The 19,493-nt window shown below is 40.3% G+C and overlaps 1 annotated feature.

Moving 5' to 3' along the window:
* Window positions 1,705-2,244: an enhancer, noted in NCBI's record as "NANOG hESC enhancer chr8:12799399-12799938 (GRCh37/hg19 assembly coordinates)". NCBI's record gives its function as "activates a minimal SCP1, AML or CMV promoter by ChIP-STARR-seq in primed H9 embryonic stem cells {active_cell/tissue: H9 hESC(primed)}" and the evidence as "EXISTENCE:reporter gene assay evidence [ECO:0000049][PMID:30033119]".

Raw genomic sequence — 19,493 nt, 5'->3', positions numbered from 1 at the left:
GCTATTTTATGTCTATGTCAAAAATAAATTACCTATTGTATTTACATCCTGTTTTTTAGGTGAAGGCAAATGTTGGCTCCCTGGCTAAGTGTCTTGATGAGATCTACCTATTAGTAATGGTAATCTTGGGTTTGTATGACAGTCAGCTCTAGGAAAAATGGAGAAATAGGGTCACTCTGTGTGTGTGTGTGTGTGTGTGTGTGTGCATTATGTGCACTTGTGCACTCACCTGTGCTCGTGTCATCCCTAGAGATTTGATTCTGGGGAAAACAAAGGGTGAATTTTGAGATAGTTGGTTTTTATTTTTCTCTGGAGATATATTTTGAACTTTTTGGGGGATACAAGTTTTGAGATATTTTCAAATAAATTAATACTTAAGATTAGATCCTAATGTATGTTACTAGAAGTTAACGCATTGTAAAATAGTTTCAGAAAGCTGTGCCATAAGAAAATTTTGTTCGAAAACTATTTGCAATTGTCAAAGCACAGCTCTTATCTTCTGAGAGCAAGCAAGACAATACTAATCTTCTTCAGCCTTCCTCTCAGAGTTCAAATAACCCGAGTTCTGTGACACTGATCTTAATCAAGACCTCTGGGCCTTAAATTACTTATCTAAAAAGAGAGAGCATTGAGTCAGATAATCACTGAGATCACCCACGATTCTTAAAAGAAAATGCATTTTTGCTTAGATCTGGAGTGAAAATCATTCCATTGTAAAAAGCTATTTTATGTCTATGTCAAAAATAAATTACCTATTGTATTTACATTCTGTTTGTTAGGTGAAGGCAAATGTTGGCTCCCTGGCTAAGTGTCTTGATTATATCTACCTATTCGTAATGGTAATCTTGGGTTTGTGTGAAAGTCAGCTCTAGGAAAAATGGAGAAATAGGGTCACTCTGTGTGTGTGTGTGTGTGTGTGCATTGTGTGTACTTGTGCACTCACCTGTGCTCATGTCATCCCTAGAGATTTGTAGAGTTGTAAAATAAAGAAGGAATTTGGTGCTTTCTTTATTGCATCCATTTATGATCTAAAGGTTCAGTAGGAAAATTTCCCATTTTCCAAGCTGCATTTCAAAAGGCTGGGTATGGAGTTAATAGTTGGTAGAAGCTTCTATTTAATTCATCCGAAAAATTTAGGAAGAACTTGTGAGATGGAAGAGGAAGGAGACTTATTCTGAGATGCTCCAGAGGGCAGACTTGGACCAGTGAATGCAAGTTACGGGGAAGAACATTTAGACTCAACTAGAGGAAGAGATTTCTAAAGTTTGAACTGCATAAAAGCAGAGCTTTTGCAAGAGGCACAACTCTTTGTCTCTGGATCGGCAGAGGAAGAGGGCAGCTCGTTTACTGGTGATGTTTGTAGAGGGTACCCATACATCAGACAGGAAGTCGTGTCAGACACCTCAATGTCCCCTCCTGGGCTGGGGTTCTTTGATGTGATATGACAATGTACTTTGGCAAATGGCAGAATACACAGTCTTTTCAGGTGTTTGGACAAAGAATGAGCCTAGTATTTTCACAACACAGGCTTTGCAGCTCTTATTTCTCTTTCCTGCTCCGATGGTGTCACCTTCTGTACTGGTGATGAAACTGGTTATGTTTGGAATAGGAGTCAAGTCAAGGTATAAATAACGCGAGAAAGAGATGGCAAAGATTGGTTTCATCCAATTTATTTGAAGGATCCAGCTGAGACCAGAACAGGGAATCCGCCTTGGAGACCATGAAAAAATGTTTTCATGGATAATCCAGGAAAATGGCGTCCTAGTTTCGGCATAAGACTGCACATACCTGTTGAACTGGAATTTGTACTTTCTTCTTCCCATTTAATGTGAAAGAAGAAAAGGAAACAGAATAAGCAAATGAGAAAGAAAAGAAACTTTATCCGAGGAATGCAAGCCTCCTGTAAATGATCAGGCCCAGAGAGGCAAGGGAATGAGGCAGCAGTCAGGCCCCACTTCTCCCCTGGAGCTAAGCTAATCATCTCTTGAATCTGCTTGCTCTAGACTGACTGTCGCCACAAGTAGCTGTAAATTAACCTAACAATGCCATGCACTGGACACCATAACTAATATCCTATAGTTCAAAAATATATAGCTAATTACTAATCATTGTCATTTCTGTTAACCAATGGGAATTCCTGACAACTTGTCTGCCTTGTTGCCTTTAAAAACCTGCTTGTAAGAAAGGTTGAATGAAGCTCATATCCAAAGTTACTTGGGTCTGAGTCTTTCAGGCAGCTGTCCTCATCTTGGCTCAAGTAAACGCTTTAAAATTATATTTTGTGCCTTAGCTTCTTCCATGAGGTTGCCACAAATAACAATTATCAGTAGAAAGATGACTAGAAGCATTTTAAAAATCCAACTGAGCAGTCAAAACAGGCACTAAAGGTCAGAGAAGTTATTTTTTTCTTGTAGTTTGTCTAAAAGAAAAATAAATTACCATCAGGAAACAAAAACAACAAAACGGGAGAAAATGCCATTCGCAGGAGAAGATTGCAGGTGAAATAGCACAGAGGTTGAAGTCACTGCTCAGGGCCAGACGGGTGGGAAGTTTCCTTGGCTCGTCCTTTATTTATTTATTTATTTATTTATTTATTTATTTATTTATTTATTTTTAAATTATACTTTTAAGTTCTAGGGTACATGTGCGCAACGTGCAGGTTTGTTACATATGTATCCATGTGCCATCTTGCTGTGCTGCACCCATTAACTCGTCATTTACATTAGGTATATCTCCTAATGCTATCCCTCCCCACTCCCCCAACCCCACGACAGGCCCCAGTGTGTGATGTTCCCCTTCCTGTGTCCACGTGTTCTCATTGTTCAATTCCCACCTATGAGTGAGAACATGCAGTGTTTGGTTTTCTGTCCTTGCGATAGTTTGCTCAGAATGATGGTTTCCAGCTTCATCCATGTCCCTAGAAAGGACATGAACTCATCGTTTTTTTATGGCTGCATAGTATTCCATGGTGTATATATGCCACATTTTCTTAATCCAGTCTATCATTGTTGGACATTTCGGTTGGTTCCAAGTGTTTGCTATTGTGAATAGTGCCGCGATAAATATACGTGTTCATGTGTCTTTAAAGCGACATGATTTATAATCCTTTTGGTATATACCCAGTAATGGGATGGCTGGGTCACATGGTATTTCTAGTTCTAGATCTTTGAGGAATCACCACACTGTCTTCCACAATGGTTGAACTAGTTTACAGTCCCACCAACAGTGTAAAAGTGTTCCTATTTCTCCACATCCTCTCCAGCATCTATTGTTTCCTGACGTTTTAATGATAGCCATTCTAACTGGTGTGAGATGGTATCTCACTGTGGTTTTGATTTGCATTTCTCCGATGGCCCATCACTTTCTTAATTGCAGGAGAGAATTCATCCATGATTTTGGACAGTGGCTCTTTTCTTTCCCCACAGCAAAGCTTTTCTACATTTACTATTCAGGACGTATACAGGCAACTGTAAGGTAACATAGGTCACTTCTCTCAATTCTATCTGATTACAAATCGGATCAGCATAACCTGGAGCACACAATTTAAGAAAAATGTCAAGCACAATTTTCCTATATTCAAACTTAATACATGTTAAAAGAAAATTTTGTTTACACAAAGTTTAACTTGTAATTTTGTAATCAAGATTCAAGAAATGTTCATGCACACTGTTTAGCCAAAAAAAAAAAAAAAAAAAAAAGGCAGGCAGGCACAGAGGCTCACACCTGTAATCCCAGCACTTCGGGAGGCCGAGGTGGGGCAGATCACTTGAGCCCAGGAGTTCAAGACCAGCCTGGGCAACATAGTGAAACTCTGCCTCTACCAAAACACACACACACACACACACACACACACACACACGTACACACAAAATTAGGCTGGTGTGGTCGTGTGTCTGTAGTTCCAGCTGCTCAGGAGGCTGAGGCAGGAGGATTGCTTGAGCCTAGGAGGTCGAAGCTGCAGTGAGCCATGATCATACCACTGCACTTCAGCCTGGGAAACAGAGGGAGACCCTGTCTCAAAAAAAGAAGACGAAAATCCTGCCATTTGTGACAACATGGATGAACCTGGAGGGTATTGTGTTCAGTGAAATAAGCCAGGTACAGAAAGACAAAAAACATGTGATCTCACTCATATGTGGAATCTAAAAAAGGAATTTAATCTAAATTCCTTTTGTTGCAATTTGGTGGTGGGGATATAGGTCAAAGAACACAAAATGTCAGATAGGAAGAATGCCTTCAAGAGATCTATGGTAAATATGATGACCATAGTTAATAACATCTTGTATTGTTGCAAAATGCTAAGTTAGTGCATGTTAAGTGCTCTCACCACAAAAATGATAGCTACGTGAGATAATGCATATGTTAATTAGCTAGATTTAGTCATTCTACTCTATATATACTACAGACAATTTTATCTGTCAATTAAAAAATGTTTAAAGAAATGTTCATGCAAAAGAGAAAGCTATTTAAAATGGAAACAAAAATGAACACTTTTTCTCAAGATTGCAATTTATACCTAAATGTACAAAGCCAAATAAATGTATGCACTCTGTATACCTTAGCTTCAGCTTTAAAGAAACTCTGCAATGGTTTGGGGTTCTAGAGTTTGATATCTCCAATTGTCATGTTTAAATGTCAGTAAAATTTAACAATAGAAATTATTTGGAATTATTCCAATATGTATTCATTCAGGATCCAGGAAATATTAGACAAAAAAGGGGAAAAAAATGAGGATTTGAAAAGGTATGTTATGTTTTTACTATTGACTAAGAAAAAAACTAGAAACAAACAAACAAAACACCTATTTGCTTCTCAGCAGATGAATTTTTAACGTTGCTGGCCAATTATTCTAAGGCAAGAGCAAAGTCAAGAGTTTCCTCAGGGTGGCCTTGTCTTTAGGAGAAAATAACAGATGGAATCACATCATGTTAATAAAGCAGTTATGTATGCATACAAAGTTTAAGGGATGTAAGGGATTTTCGAAATAATACGATGCAAATAAAAGAAACAAATGTTTACCCCTAAACTTCTGAAGATTCAGAATTGTATGACCCGGAATATAAAAACATCCATAATTGTACCACCTACAAACATCATTGTTAATATTTTGGTGCATTTCTTTTCTGTCTGTCTGTGTCAGTCAAAGTTGGGATTACATTGTATTCATTTTTACTTTAAATTGCATTTTTTGTGCAACATATCGTGTTGTTAAATAATCTACAAAACATTGATTTTTAACACTCTCATAATCTTTCATTTAAAAAGTATTTATAATGTGCCCTGTGGTGGACGAAATACAATGGAGCTTTAACTCATGTAATCCTCAGGAGATCCTGAGGAAGCATTAGTGTTATTATTGTTATGATCCCTATTGTTTCACAAATGGGGGAAACCGAGGTTAAGGGAGGTTAAGGAACTTGCCCCAAGCCAACAAAAAGCTGGGCTGTGACTTGAAATGATTTGCATCTAACTCTAATGCCAATATTCTTAATGATTATGGTAAACTTTCTCTATGTGAGAAATGTAAATGATTCAAATGAAATGTCAAAATCTTTTTTTTTTAACTTGTCAAGAGATCAAGTAACTTTTTTCAGGTGTACTGACTAAATCGCCATGACAGCTATGTGAATTGTATCTTTCCTTAGAGAGTAAATAATACTGTCTGTTTATCAAGGTCTTCAGTTTTCATTTGCACTTGTCTGATTTTTTAAAGGCCAATATATTTTGTCTATGCTTGGAGAATACGATAAGCCTACCTTAAAACTATGTAATGAAATCCAAATAACAATATATTTTGCTTCTTTTTCAGAATAGCATTATATGAATCATAAATTAAAATCATATAAAGTGTTGCTTTGTATATTGTCATTTACCATATGCCATATTATATTGTAATTCTCTCACTCTGTGTGTCCTCTCCCTTGTCTAAATTGTAAGCACCTTCAGTAATTATATCATTTATTGCATTTTCAGAGTCGAGTGCATCTTGTAAAATAGTTATTCAATATTTGCTTCCATCCAGCTACTTGGGTGGCTGAGGTGGGAAGATCTCTTGAAGTCAGGAGTTTGAGGCTATACTGTGCTATGATTGTGCCTGTCAATCGCCATTGCACTCCAGCCTGGGCAACATATCAAGATCCTGTCTCTTAAAAAAAAAAGAAAATTAAAAAAAAGTTGTTTGCAACGTACATAATGTTGTTCATGTTTCATGTATCAGTAACTAAATACAAATTACTTAAACACTAAACAATAGTCCTCTTAAATAAATTGGTCTTTATAGATAATATTGTCTCTGTGGCAGAGATAACGTTAAGTGATCAACAAACTAGGCTCAGTTACCTCTTGGGCACGCAGGAGACTACATAGCCCAGTCTCCTTTGTGTTTAAGTGGGACCACATCCATGTGACTTAGTTCTGGCCAATAGAATGTGGACAGAAATGATGCATGGCAAGTTCTAGTGCTCACTCTGTACAGCCTCCTCTATGTCATGATCTCTCTTTCTTGCTCTTTCATTCTCTGTCTCTCTTTGTCTGCTGAATACAGGTAGAATTAGTAAGGAAGAGAGACCCAAGAGATTCATGAATCTCCATGTAGAAGATCACAGTCTGAATTCTAAATGTGACTGTGATGTGAGCTATTGAGATTTAGGGGTTGTTAGTGATAGCCTCTAGCATCCTATTGTGTTTATCATGTATTGAGTTTCAGTTCTGCCTCAGGTACATACCAACACACCCTCTACTATCACATTCTCTTCCTTTCCCTCATACTGTTCTCTCAACCTGACATTTCCTCTTTCCATATTTTTATCTATTAAAACTGTACTTATGACAGAGTTCAAATGCCCCTTACATAAAGCTTTGTTTCATATCACAGGCAAAATAATCTTGCTCCACTGTAACCCATCACAGAATTTTCTTCCCTTATTCCACATCCATAGTCGAGTGCTGGTCACCATCATATCCCTAATGCCCAATGGTTGGCATTTACAATATTTATCCAACAAATGAATGAATTGGTGCATTTCATTTCTCTCACAGGTTTGATACATTCCCTGTGTGTAGGATCATGTCTCATTCATCTTTATACTTCCCAGTGACAAGCACAGAACTTGGAACATAGTAGATACTCAAAAAATGTTTGTGGAATTGCTAAAGTATTATTAATGATGATTGAGAGAGGTGCATTTTTTAAATATAAATGTTCACAGTTTTATAATTCTTCAAGTATTTAATAACTTTCACAGCGGGAAAATTTGTCATTAAATTTAATCTAAATTCCTTTTGTTGCAATTTCAAGTTTTTAATGATTTTTGTTACCTTCAGTCACAGCACTTCTGAGTAGGAAGAGGCTCAGTTCTCAGAAGTTATTTCTGTCTTGACTGATATATTTACAGAAGGGGTGGTAATGATTCAACTGCTCTAAATCAATACTGCTGAATTATTTCAGGAAAGACAGGGTTTTTGGACACTTATCCCTCCGTATATTCTTTTTCCCTTATGGTTTCTATAATTAGTCACAAATCTATGCTTGTATGAAGGTGAAAAATTGAATATCATTATTTAGGGAGAAGTGAGGGAGATGGCAATTGGTGACGCCTACTCTATTGCTGAAGGCTCAGTAAGTAGTACTATAAATAGAAAACAAACTAGGCCAGGCACAGTGGCTCATGCTTGTAATCCCAGCACTTTGGGAGCCAAAGAAAGAGGATCACTTGAGCCAAGAGTTTCAATCCAGCCTGGGCAACATAGTGAAACCCTGCTTCTACCAAAAAATTTAAAAATTAGCTGGGGTGGTGGCCTGTGCTTGTAGCCCCAGCTACTCAGGAGGCTGAGGTGGGAGGATCACTTTAGCCCAGGAGTTCGAGGTTGCTGTGAGGTATGACAGCACCACTGCATTCCAGCCTAGTGACAGAGTAAAACCTGGTCTCAAAAATGAAATAAATAAAATATTTATTTCCCAATTATAAAATCAAGAAATGTATATCATATGAGCAAAATGGTAAAAATTGCATGGAATTAATTATCAAGGATTTGTAATTATCCAAAGTATAAACACAAGCTTCTGATTTCAGAAAATACATCTAAGCATTGAAAAAGCCCACCATGGTTGTTATTGCACTGAAATGGCCTCCAGCCATACCCTGAAATGCAAAAATATATGTTTATTGCTAACTATTATAAAGCCAGCAAAATAAGATTTTATAGTTTAACTGTACAGCTAATACCCAAATATATTTTTGTAAAAATTCAAACAACAGGGAAGATGTACAAAAGAAAGGGCCCTTTTGACAACCTCCTTCTCCCCTCACTTGCACTTTCCTTCCCAGAATTAGCCTCTTTTAAGGGTGTTTTATTCCTCTAGATTTCTGTGCAATTGCAAAACAACTATATCCTTATACAAATAGGATAAAAAGTAGCTTTTATTTAAATATCACTGAAATACTTTGGATATTTGTTCCCCTCCAAATCTCATGTTGACATGTAATCCCCAGTGTTGGAGGTGGGGACTAGTGGGAGATGTCTGGATCATGGGGGTGGGTCCCTCATGAATGGCTTATCACCTTAGTGATGAGTGAGTTCACGCAAGATCTGGTTTAAAGTATCTGGCATCTCCCACTCTCTCTCTCTTACTCCTGCTCTGGCCATGTGACATGCCTGCTCCTGCTTCACCTTCCGCCACTAGTAAAAGCTTCCTGAGGGCTCCCCAGAAGCCAAGCAGATGTCAGCACCATGCTTTCTGTAAAGCCTGCAGAACTGTGAGCCAATTAAAGGCTTTTCTTTGTTAATTATCCAGTCTCAGGTATTTCTAGCAATGCAAGAACAGTCGAATATCGTTGCTTGCTCATTTCACTTCCCCAATTTCATAGAGCTGGATATCTTTTTCTTACTGATTTGTAAGGTCTTTTTATTAATTCTAAACCCTCCTTTTTTTGCTATAAATGTTGCTAAATTTTCTCCCAGCTATGAGACTTCTAAATTTTGTTTCTCTTTTGTCATCTAAAAGTTTTCACTTTTTAGGGAGTCAAGGCTATTAATCTTTTTTATACAATGACTTCTGGGGTTCATATTTTGTTTTTGAAATCTTTCTCCTTCGTATGATTATAAAAACGCTTGCCTATATTTTTGTGTAATGGCTTTGTTCTTTATTTATTTTTGCTGTGGTGAGAGATAAGGATCATGTCATAAATGCAGTATGTCTCAATGACCATTCTGACCTTCCAGACTTCCATAGAACCAGGGTTTAGGGATGCGAGTCTCATTCTACCAATCAGAGGTTCTCACAAGAGACTGTGATTTGAACTGAGTTATTTTGAGAGAAAGAAAGGGCATGGGGCATTCACTTTGCAGGTTTGGGTCATGGTGGAAGTAGCAAGGTCTGAAATCAACAACTATGGTGGCCGCTTCTCATCAGGCAGATGGATTCCTGTTTTGGCATCTTCCTGAGAAGTGGTGTGGTTCTGGTCACTGCTGTGGTAGAAACGTCTGATTTTTGCAGCTTCCCCTTTTGTAGTATATGCACCAGTTCCTCGGGCTGTTTAGTTCTGTGGTTTGGTTTTGCTGGTCATTCCTTAAAATAAACACTGGAATCTTTTTCTTCACGAATTCCCTGCAAGGATTGTGTACTCCACGTACCCTCTAATATGTTCCATTTACCTTAAACTAGTTTGAAGGAATTTTATTTTTTGAAACTATGAACCTTGACCAAAACAACATATGACATTCCGTTTTTGCCCCGAATCTATTTCAACATCATTTATTGTACAACCTTTTCCCTACTTAAAGGCCTCTTTTCATAAGTCTTCATAATTATATTTGAAGGATCAATTTCTGTATTTTAATGTATTTTATTGATGTGTTTATCTACTTTTGTACTGATTCCACACAGGTTTGTTTTGTTTTGTTTTGTTTTGAGACAGAGTTTCGCTCTTGTTGCCAAGGCTGAAGTGTAATGGCCCCATCTTGGCTCACTGCAACCTCCGCCTCTCAGGTTCAAGCGATTCTCCTGCCTCAGCCTCCTGAGTAGCTGGGATTACAGGCGCGTGCCACCATGCTCGGATAATTTTTTTTTTTTTTTTTTTTTGTATTTTTAGTACAGATGGGGTTTCTCCATGTTGCTCAGGCTGGTCTCGAACTCCCAACCTCAGGTGATCTGCCTGCCTCGGCCTCCCAAAGTGCTGGGATTACAGGAGTGAGCCACTGCGCCCGGCCGATTCCACACAGTTTTAACTGCTATTTTTTTGTGTTTTATATGATGGCTTACTATGAGTAGGGATGTTTCTTTCCATTGATTTGCTTGTTCAGAATTTCTTCAGCTAGTCATGAACATTTTCCTTCCCAAATAAACTTCAGAATTATTTGGCTGAGTTGCATAAAATGTACCATCAACATTATGATTTCCTTTACATTAAATGTAGAGTTTAATTTGGTAAGATGCTTTAAAACTGTGGTTTTCAAACCTTTTGGTGTCAAGACCCCTTTATATTCTTGAAAATTAATAAAGACGTTAGAGAGCTCTTGCTTATGTGGGATATATCAGTTAATATTTATCATGTCAGAAATTAAAACTGATAAAATTTAGAAATATTTATTAACTCCTAAATATAACGATAAAATGTATTGTATGTTTATTAGGAAAATAACTATATTTCCCAAAACAAAAGTATTAGTGAGAAGATTATTTTACATTTTTGCAAATCTCTTCAATGTTTAGCTTGGTAGAAGAGACCCGGATTCCCATATTGGTTCAGCAATCAATCTGCTGTGATATGTTGTTTTGATTGAAGTATATGAAAAAATCAGCCTTACACAGGTATGGAATTGGAAAAGGAAAGAGTGTTTTAATAGCCATTTCAGATAAGTGTGGATATTTTTCTTTGCTACTGCACCACAACTTGATAAGTAGTATTTTCATAGAGGTTAGCTAAAATGTTGAATCTGAAAATTTGTCAATGAAATTTTTTTACTTGGATACTTTAAAAGCCATTGATCTGTCTTGTTCTTTTAATTAGATCTTTTATTCATGCATTTTGTAACATGATTCACTGATCATCTGGCAAACATTGGTTCACTGAGTTATGGTGATCTTCCAGATATTAACACATCTTATTATACGAAATCAAGATAGCACATTCATTAATATTACCACTGATCTGATTAGAAAAGTCTTCAATCATTGAAAAGCTGACAAGCTCATTATGATAAATCCAAGTTACCCAAAATTTTAAGTTTCATTTAAAAGCTTAAATTATTATTATTATTATTATTATTTTATTATTAGAGATGGGATCTCACTACTTTACTCAGGGTGGTCTTGAACTCCTGGCCTCAAGTGATGCTCCTGCCTCAGCTTCCGGAGTAGCTGGGATTACAGATGTGACCCCCCCCACCTGACAAAAGTTTAAATCTTCTCATTAGCAATAAACACGGTCAGTTGTTTTCTTTGAAGCAACAGGCCCGCTTCATTCCCTTTTTTTTTTGTTTGTTTATTGAGACGTACTCTCGCTCTGTCGCCCAGGCTGGAGTGCAGTGGAGCGATCTTGGCTCAGCGCAAGCTCCGCCTCCCGGGTTCGCGGCATTCTCCTGCCTCAGCCTCCCGAGTAGCTGGGACTACAAGGCGCCCGCCATCACGCGCGGCTATTTTTTTTTGGTATTTTTAGTAGAGACGGGGTTTCACCGTGTTAGCCACGATGATCTCCATCTCCTAACCTCGTGATCCACCCGCCTCGGTCTCCCAAAGGACTGGGATTACAGGTGTGAGCCACCGCGCCCGACCACTTCTTTCCCTTTTTTTTAAAGAAAATGTCTGCCCAATAGCGAAGAGTTTTCTGTTATTTGTTCTTTCAAGTAAAAACAGTATTCCATGAAAAAAAAGAGAATACATTACCCGAAAAAAAAAATTTTGTTTAAACTTTAAGTTGATAGAGCTTTTTGAAGGTCAGAATTGAGAATAAGGAAGGGTGGACCTGAATTACATTTACTTCATTACTGATTTCTCCATTTCATAGTTCACACCCGGGGGCTTATCATGATGGACTGAATAATCCATTTATTCAGAAAAGGTCTTCAAGCAGTGGAAAGCGGACAAGCTCGCTAAGGTAAATTCAAGTTATCTAAAATGTTAAGTTTCGCTGAAAAGCTTGAATTTTGATTTGACTATTTTACTTTATTTGATGTTTTTTCCTGAAAAATACATATCGAGCCCCTCCCATGGACTGAACCCTGTTCTTAGTCCTGGGTATGACTACACGAAGTTGCAACCCTTACATTTTGATGAGGTTGAGAGGTGACAACGTGCTAGCAGCCCTCACTCGCTCTCGGCGCCTCCTCGGCCTCGGTGTCCACTCTGGCCGCGCTTGAGGAGCCCTTCAGCCCGCCACTGCGCTGTGTGGGCCCCACTTTGGGCTGGCCCAGGCCGGAGCCGGCTCCTGCTTGCGGGGAGGTGTGGAGGGAGAGGCGCGGGAGGGAACTGGGGCTGCGCGCGGCGCTCGAGGGCCAGCGCGAGTTCCGGGTAGGCGCGGGCTCGGCAGGTCCCGCACTCGGAGCGGCCGGCCGGCACTGCCGGCCCCGGGCAGTGAGGGGCTTAGCACCCGGGCCAGCAGCTGCGGAGGGTGCGCCGGGTCCCCCAGCACTGCCGGCCCGCCCGCGCCGCTCTCGAGTTCTCGCCCGGCCTCAGCCGCCTCCCTGCGGGGCAGGGCTCGGGACCTGCAGCCCGCCATGCCCGAGCTTCCCGCCGGCCTGACCCCCCAACCTAAGTAGGACAGCAAGCAACATGACCACTGGGGCAGAAACCTTTCTAGGCAGAGTGAACAGCAAGTGTTCTAGAAGCAGGCGTGTTCTAGCAGGTTTCAGGAAATGAAAGAAGGCTACGGTGGCCACTGAAAAAGAGCAAAGAGAGTAGAAGCAGAGCCTGCTGTCAATCAAGTCTGCTAAGGACTTGAGATCTTTTTCTCAGCAAGATGGCACGCTGTTTGAGGAGGGCCGTGAACAGGGCGGTGACCAGCGAGGACTGTGTGTAACAGGGTGACTCTGGCTGTTGTGTGGTTAAGTAGGGGAGGGCAATGAATGAGTCCTGAGGCCTGGCGCTCAGGATCCTTTCCAGCCTCTTTCTAGAGTGCTCCGCAGTCCTGCAGAGACCAGAAAGGGAAAACCACATGCCCTGGATTCCTGTGTAGCTGGGGTTCTGGATGGGACGGATGTAGGTTCCACCAATCAGAAGCACTCACAGGAGATTTAGGAAGGTCAGTTCTCCCACCTCAGCTTTCTGAGTAGCTGGGACTACAGGTGCACGCCACCAGGCCCAGCTAATTTTTGTATTTTCAGTAGAGATGGGGTTTTGCCATGTTGGCCAGGCTGGTCTCGAACACCTGACCTCAAGTCATCTGTCCACCTTGGCCTCCCAAAGTACTGGGATTACAGGCATGAACTACCATGCCCGGTATTATTTTAAAAATTCCGTAAACATTTACTTCCCCTCCTAATGTCTCTTCTCAGTGGCCAGCCTGTTGTTCCTCCCTGCATGATTCCTCACACAGCCTCTTCTTCCCCTGCAGATTTGCCTCTACTCTTCTAATCCTTTCTATTTCCCTCAGCCTTTCTTAAGCAGGGCAGTTCAGCTCTAGCATCTCTAATATGTAATATGTTCCACCCCATCTCAAGATCAGCAAACAGACCCTCAGGTGACCAGAATTTATGCTCCCTAGGTAACATTTGAGGGTCTTTAAAGGACAAAGACATTTTTCTTATATCATTCAACAAGTTAGTAAGACTATTTACCTTTATGGATATTTGAAGGATTCAGTGAGATATCAAATGTGATCTGCCTGGCTTAGTGCCTAACACATAGTATGTGATTAATAAAAATCAGGCCTTTAAAAAATATATAGACAGGGTCTTACTCTGTCACTCAAGCTGGAGTGCAGTGGTGTGATCCTAGCTCACTGCAACTTTGAACTCCCACCTTAACCTCCCCAGTAGCTGGGACTACAGGTACGTGCCACTACACCTGGTTAATTTTTTTATTTTTTTGTAGAGATGGGGTCTCACTATGTTATCCAGGTTGTGCTTGAACTCCTAGCCTCAAGTGATCCTCCCTCCTCGGCCTCCCAAAGTGCTGGGATTACAGGCGTGATCCACTGCACCTGGCCAGAAATCGGTTCTTGCTCTTCCTGACCTTCAGTTCTCATTTATTACGATTTCTGATTTTATCTTTCTTTTGTTTTAATATCATGGAAAACAGCTAATTCACAATTGGAAATCATTCCCAAGGAAGCAAAGTTTGGCTCCTGCTGGTGTTCCCTGCCCTGTCGGCACATGGACAGGCACATATTAGGGTTCAGTGCATGCTGGTTGACAAGGACCAGCAAGTGAGTTGTGATTATTTAAATTGGTTGTCTTGGGAGCCAAACACAGGGGACTATGCTGATGTATCAAAGCACAATCAAAAAGATCTAAAAGTCTCCTTTGTTGTATTTTCATGCCTATCTCACTGTCCTTATCAGCCAGTTCCCCCAGAATAACTAAGAGATTAAAAAGCTTAAACTTAATTTTCTTGCTTAAACTCAATGTTCCAAGAGCCTTCCAACCTGACAGCAGTAAAATATTTAAGTCTATTGGTCTATGGTTCCAGGAATTTCAGAGAGATGCTTGTGTCAAATGATTTCCAGCAAGGACATATTAAATTGCCTTTATCTCATCTGTCTGTGAGGATCTTGAAATGGAAGCTGTTTATTGGAGGGGTGCAGCCAGACGGTCAGAGCCTTTTTTGAAGTCCTCATCATCCAGCTCTTAGTTTATGACATTTGAAGTACTTACTTGCTGACAGAGATGGAAGTTAGCTATTGATTCAAATGATTGGCAGTACTTAGCAGGACTAGGTACATGTAACTCAGACACTGGAATGGATTTTTAAATTAACCTCACTACTGGATCTGCTATTCAGCCCCCAGATCTGGGAAAACACTCGTTTCAGAATCAAATGCTAAGATTTCATTTTAAAGCTGCACCTACCTATTACAGTTCCAATTTGGAAATTTTGCCTTGCTAAATCATATTCACCCATCACTCTGCATATGTCTGCCAGCCACCAAATTATCCCAAATATTGCTCCCTTCCTTTAGTTCAGATCTGTCTCCACACTCACTTTGTTTTTTTTTTTGTTTGTTTGTTTGTTTGTTTGTTTGTTTTTAGAATCTCCCTGTTTCACCCAGGCTGGAGTGCAGTGGCGCCATCTTGGCTCACTGCAACTTCTGCCTGCCAGGTTCAAGCGATTCTCCCGCCTCAGCCTCCCAAGTAGCTGGGATTACAGGCACACACCACCATACCCAGCTAATTTTTGTATTTCTAGTAGAGACGGGTTTTCACTATGTTGGCCAGGCTGGTCTCGAACTCCTGACCTCAAGTGATCCACCTGCCTCAGCCTCCCAAAATGCTGGGATTACAGGCATGAGCCACCGTGCCAGGCCTTCCACACTCCCTTTCGAGATAGACCTTCTGCCTTATTCAATTTCCTAGCCGCCATAATGCACGTGCCTTACCTGTGGCAGAAAGAATTCAACAAATATTTAAGCATAAAGAAGAAATTAAATATGAGATCCAAAATTTGTAGTCCACTGAAGTTGTGTGCAACTTTGGAATACGATTCTTGCATTTAGGTTTCAACATCCCAGGAAGCCGACTGAAGCTGTTTGTGGAAGAATACCCTGATTACTCCTCCCCCCAAATCTGTCTTCTCATAGGAAAGCAAAGTGGCCTCAGAGAATGCTTCACTAGATTATAAATATGGCCCTGTGTTTAGGGCTATCTATCCCACCTCCTAATCATCACTGTACCAAATATAACATGCTCCTCTGAGTCCAGGGTCCAGAAGTTTGGACCAAGGGCCATGGTCTGATTGTATTTTCTCAGTAAGGAAATTCTCAACCCAGTCAACATGTTCTACAGCCCATAAATCAAACTCCGCATTCACAAACAGGCCCACCAGGATATAGCAATGTAGGAGCCATAGAATCAGAATTGTGAAGAGACACAGACATCTAGGATATTATATTGCAATCCACTGTCATTAAAAAGTCGGATTAGGCCAGGCGTAACTTTAATTGTATGGATTGATAGTAATGATGGCTAAGAAATCCTCTTAACTGAGCTGGGTTTCTCTTCCCCTTCCTTCCCTTCCTTTCCTTCCTTTCCTTCCTTCCTTCCTTCCTTCCTTCCTTCCTTCCTTCCTTCCTTCCTCCCTCCCTCCCTCCCTCCCTCCTTCCTTCCTTCCTTTTTAAATCTGTAGAAAGAAACAAATAAAACTATTACTATGCCGTGCTTGGGAGCCGTATGCATTCGTCGGATCATAGCCTTCTTGTTATTGTGATGCAATTTTTTAATGAGCAAATGACATAGTATTCCTGGTGGATTCCTCTGACCAAGATTTCTATTAAGTTAATAGAAGAGATTAAATCAAGGTAATTGAAAAGATTTGTACTCTCTCTAATGCAATCACTCATTTTTAAATCTAATTACAGTGACGAGTGCTGGGCTTGAGTCACCCTTCTCTGACAGGGAGATTTTAGTGCTAGGCAGGTCCCACCCCTGAGGAAGGCTGAAATATCAGTGGTGTTTTCAGACTTTGATTTCAGTAAAATAGATGCAGTGGAAGCAGGTTAGCACCTTTAGGTGTTCATTGGTGGTAACTACTAAAGAGATCATGGAAGAGGGAGAATCTTTCCTGCCCTCTCCTCATACATTCTGCAAATGGATAGGCTGACATAAAGAGAGTTCCCAGCTGAAAAATTAGAAATATTGCATAAATAACCATACCATCCAGGCTAGCGGGAACATTTCAGAAAGGACGGCCTTGTGTTTGAGGTGGATGATGGGGTTTGGAGGAAGAAGGGAAGGGCTGCCCTCTGACAGGGATGGGAGGTGGCCTGGAGTGGGAGAGCCTCTCCATTGCACATCCACCTGTTCAAAAATTCTACTTGACTTGTCTCCTCTTTCTCTTTCTATCGGTTGGAAATTAGTTTGCATGGAAACATTTGAAATGCAGATAGCTTTGGGAGTCTGTAATCGCTGCTATATCCGTGGAACTTATTCTAATCACTTTAATTTCTCAATGCGATGGGGCATTCGAGGCAGGGAGAGGTAGTGGAAGGTAGTCTAACTGTATGTTTCTCATCGTTCATGTAGATACTAAATTTTTCATTCAAAAAATCAATAAATGGATATATTAAGTTGTACAATTTACTACCAAAAACACTGTCAAATAGAAACTGGAGAAAGTGCTGCCTTCGGGGGAATGGAACAAGATGAGGAGATTCTAAACTTTCCCTTTTAGAAGCTTCTAAATGGCTTGATTTCCTTTTCCTTCTGTCACATACAGGTATCACTTTAATGAAAACAAAAGAACTAGTTTAAAATAGTTTTAAAAGTTCACTCTTGTTAAGAAGTGGAATTGCTGTGTTAAAGGGGTATGTGCCTTTAAACATTTTTAAAATCCTGCTCAATGACCAGCAAAAAATGACTATAATAACATTACTCCTACCAATACTGTAAGAAAGTTCTTATTCCACATCATCAATGTAAGATGTTTTCAATTTTTAAATTGCCACTTTTCAGGTCAAAAAAATGTTGTTCTGTATATATTTCATTGTATACATTTTCCTTAAATATTTGATGATGATTGATTATTTTTTAGCCTGGTTAGTGAATTTAGTATTTTTTTTAACCCTAGCTTATCTGCAGAATTTGCTAAGAAAGTATGGGTTGTGCTGCTGGGTCTCAAAGCCAGTAGCTGGACTCCTGGACATGAGGACTGATGATTCTGTAGTGTATTGGTTGGTGCAATTGGGGAGACAGGAAGTGGCCACCTGGCCTAGATGCTCTTTTTGCTGTGCCCCAACTGTTATGTTTATGGTTGCCTCCCTCTCTCTCCTGCTCTCCAATCACCACCTCTAAGCTCAAGGTGCATTGCAACCCAACTCCCACTCCCGTGCTCTGTTACTTATGTTTTAGGCTATGATCCGCCAGTCAAACATTTCATCTCTTTTAGGCATTTTCCATAACTTCTGTTCAATTGAGACCATACAGTCTTATTTACTGGCATATTAAAAATACGTACTTAATGTTATTTCTAGGGAATTAGATGCAGTGGGTGTATGAGTCCATTTTGCATTGCTATAAAGAAGTACTTGAGGCTGGGTAATTGATAAAGAAAAGATGCTCACCATTCTGTCGGCTGTAAAAGCACGGCACCAGCATCTGCTCGGCTTCTTGTGAGGCCTCAGGAAGCTTTTACTCATGGTTGAAGGTGAATGCAGAGCAGGTATATCACATGGTGAGAGGGGGAGTGAGAGAGAGAGAGAGAGAGAGAGAGAGAGAGAGGAGGAGTTACCAAGCCCTTTTTAACAATCAGATCTTGCAGTGACTGATAGAGCAAGAACTCGCTCATTACCACCATGGGGAGCACACCAAGCCATTCCTGAGCAGTCCGCTCCCATGACCCAAACACTTCCCACTAGGCCCACCTCCAACATTGGCGGTCACATTTCAACACGAGATTTGGAGGGGACGAAACATCCAAACTATGTTAGAGGGATAGGTTGCTCAGTCTACCATCTTTCTCTAACCTCCTGGTGGTACAATGCCATCCCATCAGGGGTGCATTTGAAATAGACAGATAGATGGGTAAACGCATGTTGATTTCAAACCATTCCAGTCATGATCTACTCAATGATTGTCTACTCAAAGCTGAGGACAAAGTGGGAATTGAAAACTAAGTGGCCCACAGAATGAGCTTCTGGCTGTGCTCAGTGTGAGTTTAGGGTTTTAAGATGTGTACTTTTTGGGGTACAATGTGACCTCTGAATGCAAGCCAACCACTTCATCTGGTGCTTAGCTGAAGAAACAATGACCTGTTCCAACATGGAGGAACAGCTATGCTGGAATTACACAATTACCATAGGTCACTCTTCAATATGGTGGCTTCCTACAGAGTTCTCAATGGTAGTTTTGACTATAGGATATTTCACCTTTACACACTGGCTTTAGAACCCACCCTCCACCCACAACATGAAAGGCATAACTCTATTGTATGAGCATGATCATTTTGAAAATTTGAAAAATAATAAATTATTTGAGAAAAGCATCTAGTCAAGATCACTGTAGAAGAAAATTTTGCTCTGAGGGCAAGATACATAGAGAAATGAGATAGGAAGTGATTTGGGAGCATGAAAACAGTAAGTCAGAGAGCAGTGGCAGGTGGAAACTGACAACTCAGGAAAGGAGTTGAGGTTCCCACCTGCAACCTAATGGGAGTCCCACCAGACATGAGCTAGGGTAACCCACAACTCCGAAATTGACCAAATAGGACTTTGGGGCTTGGTCTGAAAACCATATTACAATCTTTTAAATTTAATTTTGTTTTTATTTTTTGTAGATAGGAGGTTTGGCTGTGTTGCCTAGGCTGGTCTCATACTCCTGGCCTCATGAAATTCAACTTCCTTGCC

The sequence above is a fragment of the Homo sapiens genome, chromosome 8 (genome assembly GCF_000001405.40).
Source record: "Homo sapiens chromosome 8, GRCh38.p14 Primary Assembly".
NCBI classification, from domain to species: domain Eukaryota; kingdom Metazoa; phylum Chordata; class Mammalia; order Primates; family Hominidae; genus Homo; species Homo sapiens.
This window is presented reverse-complemented; position numbering and strand designations above follow the sequence as displayed.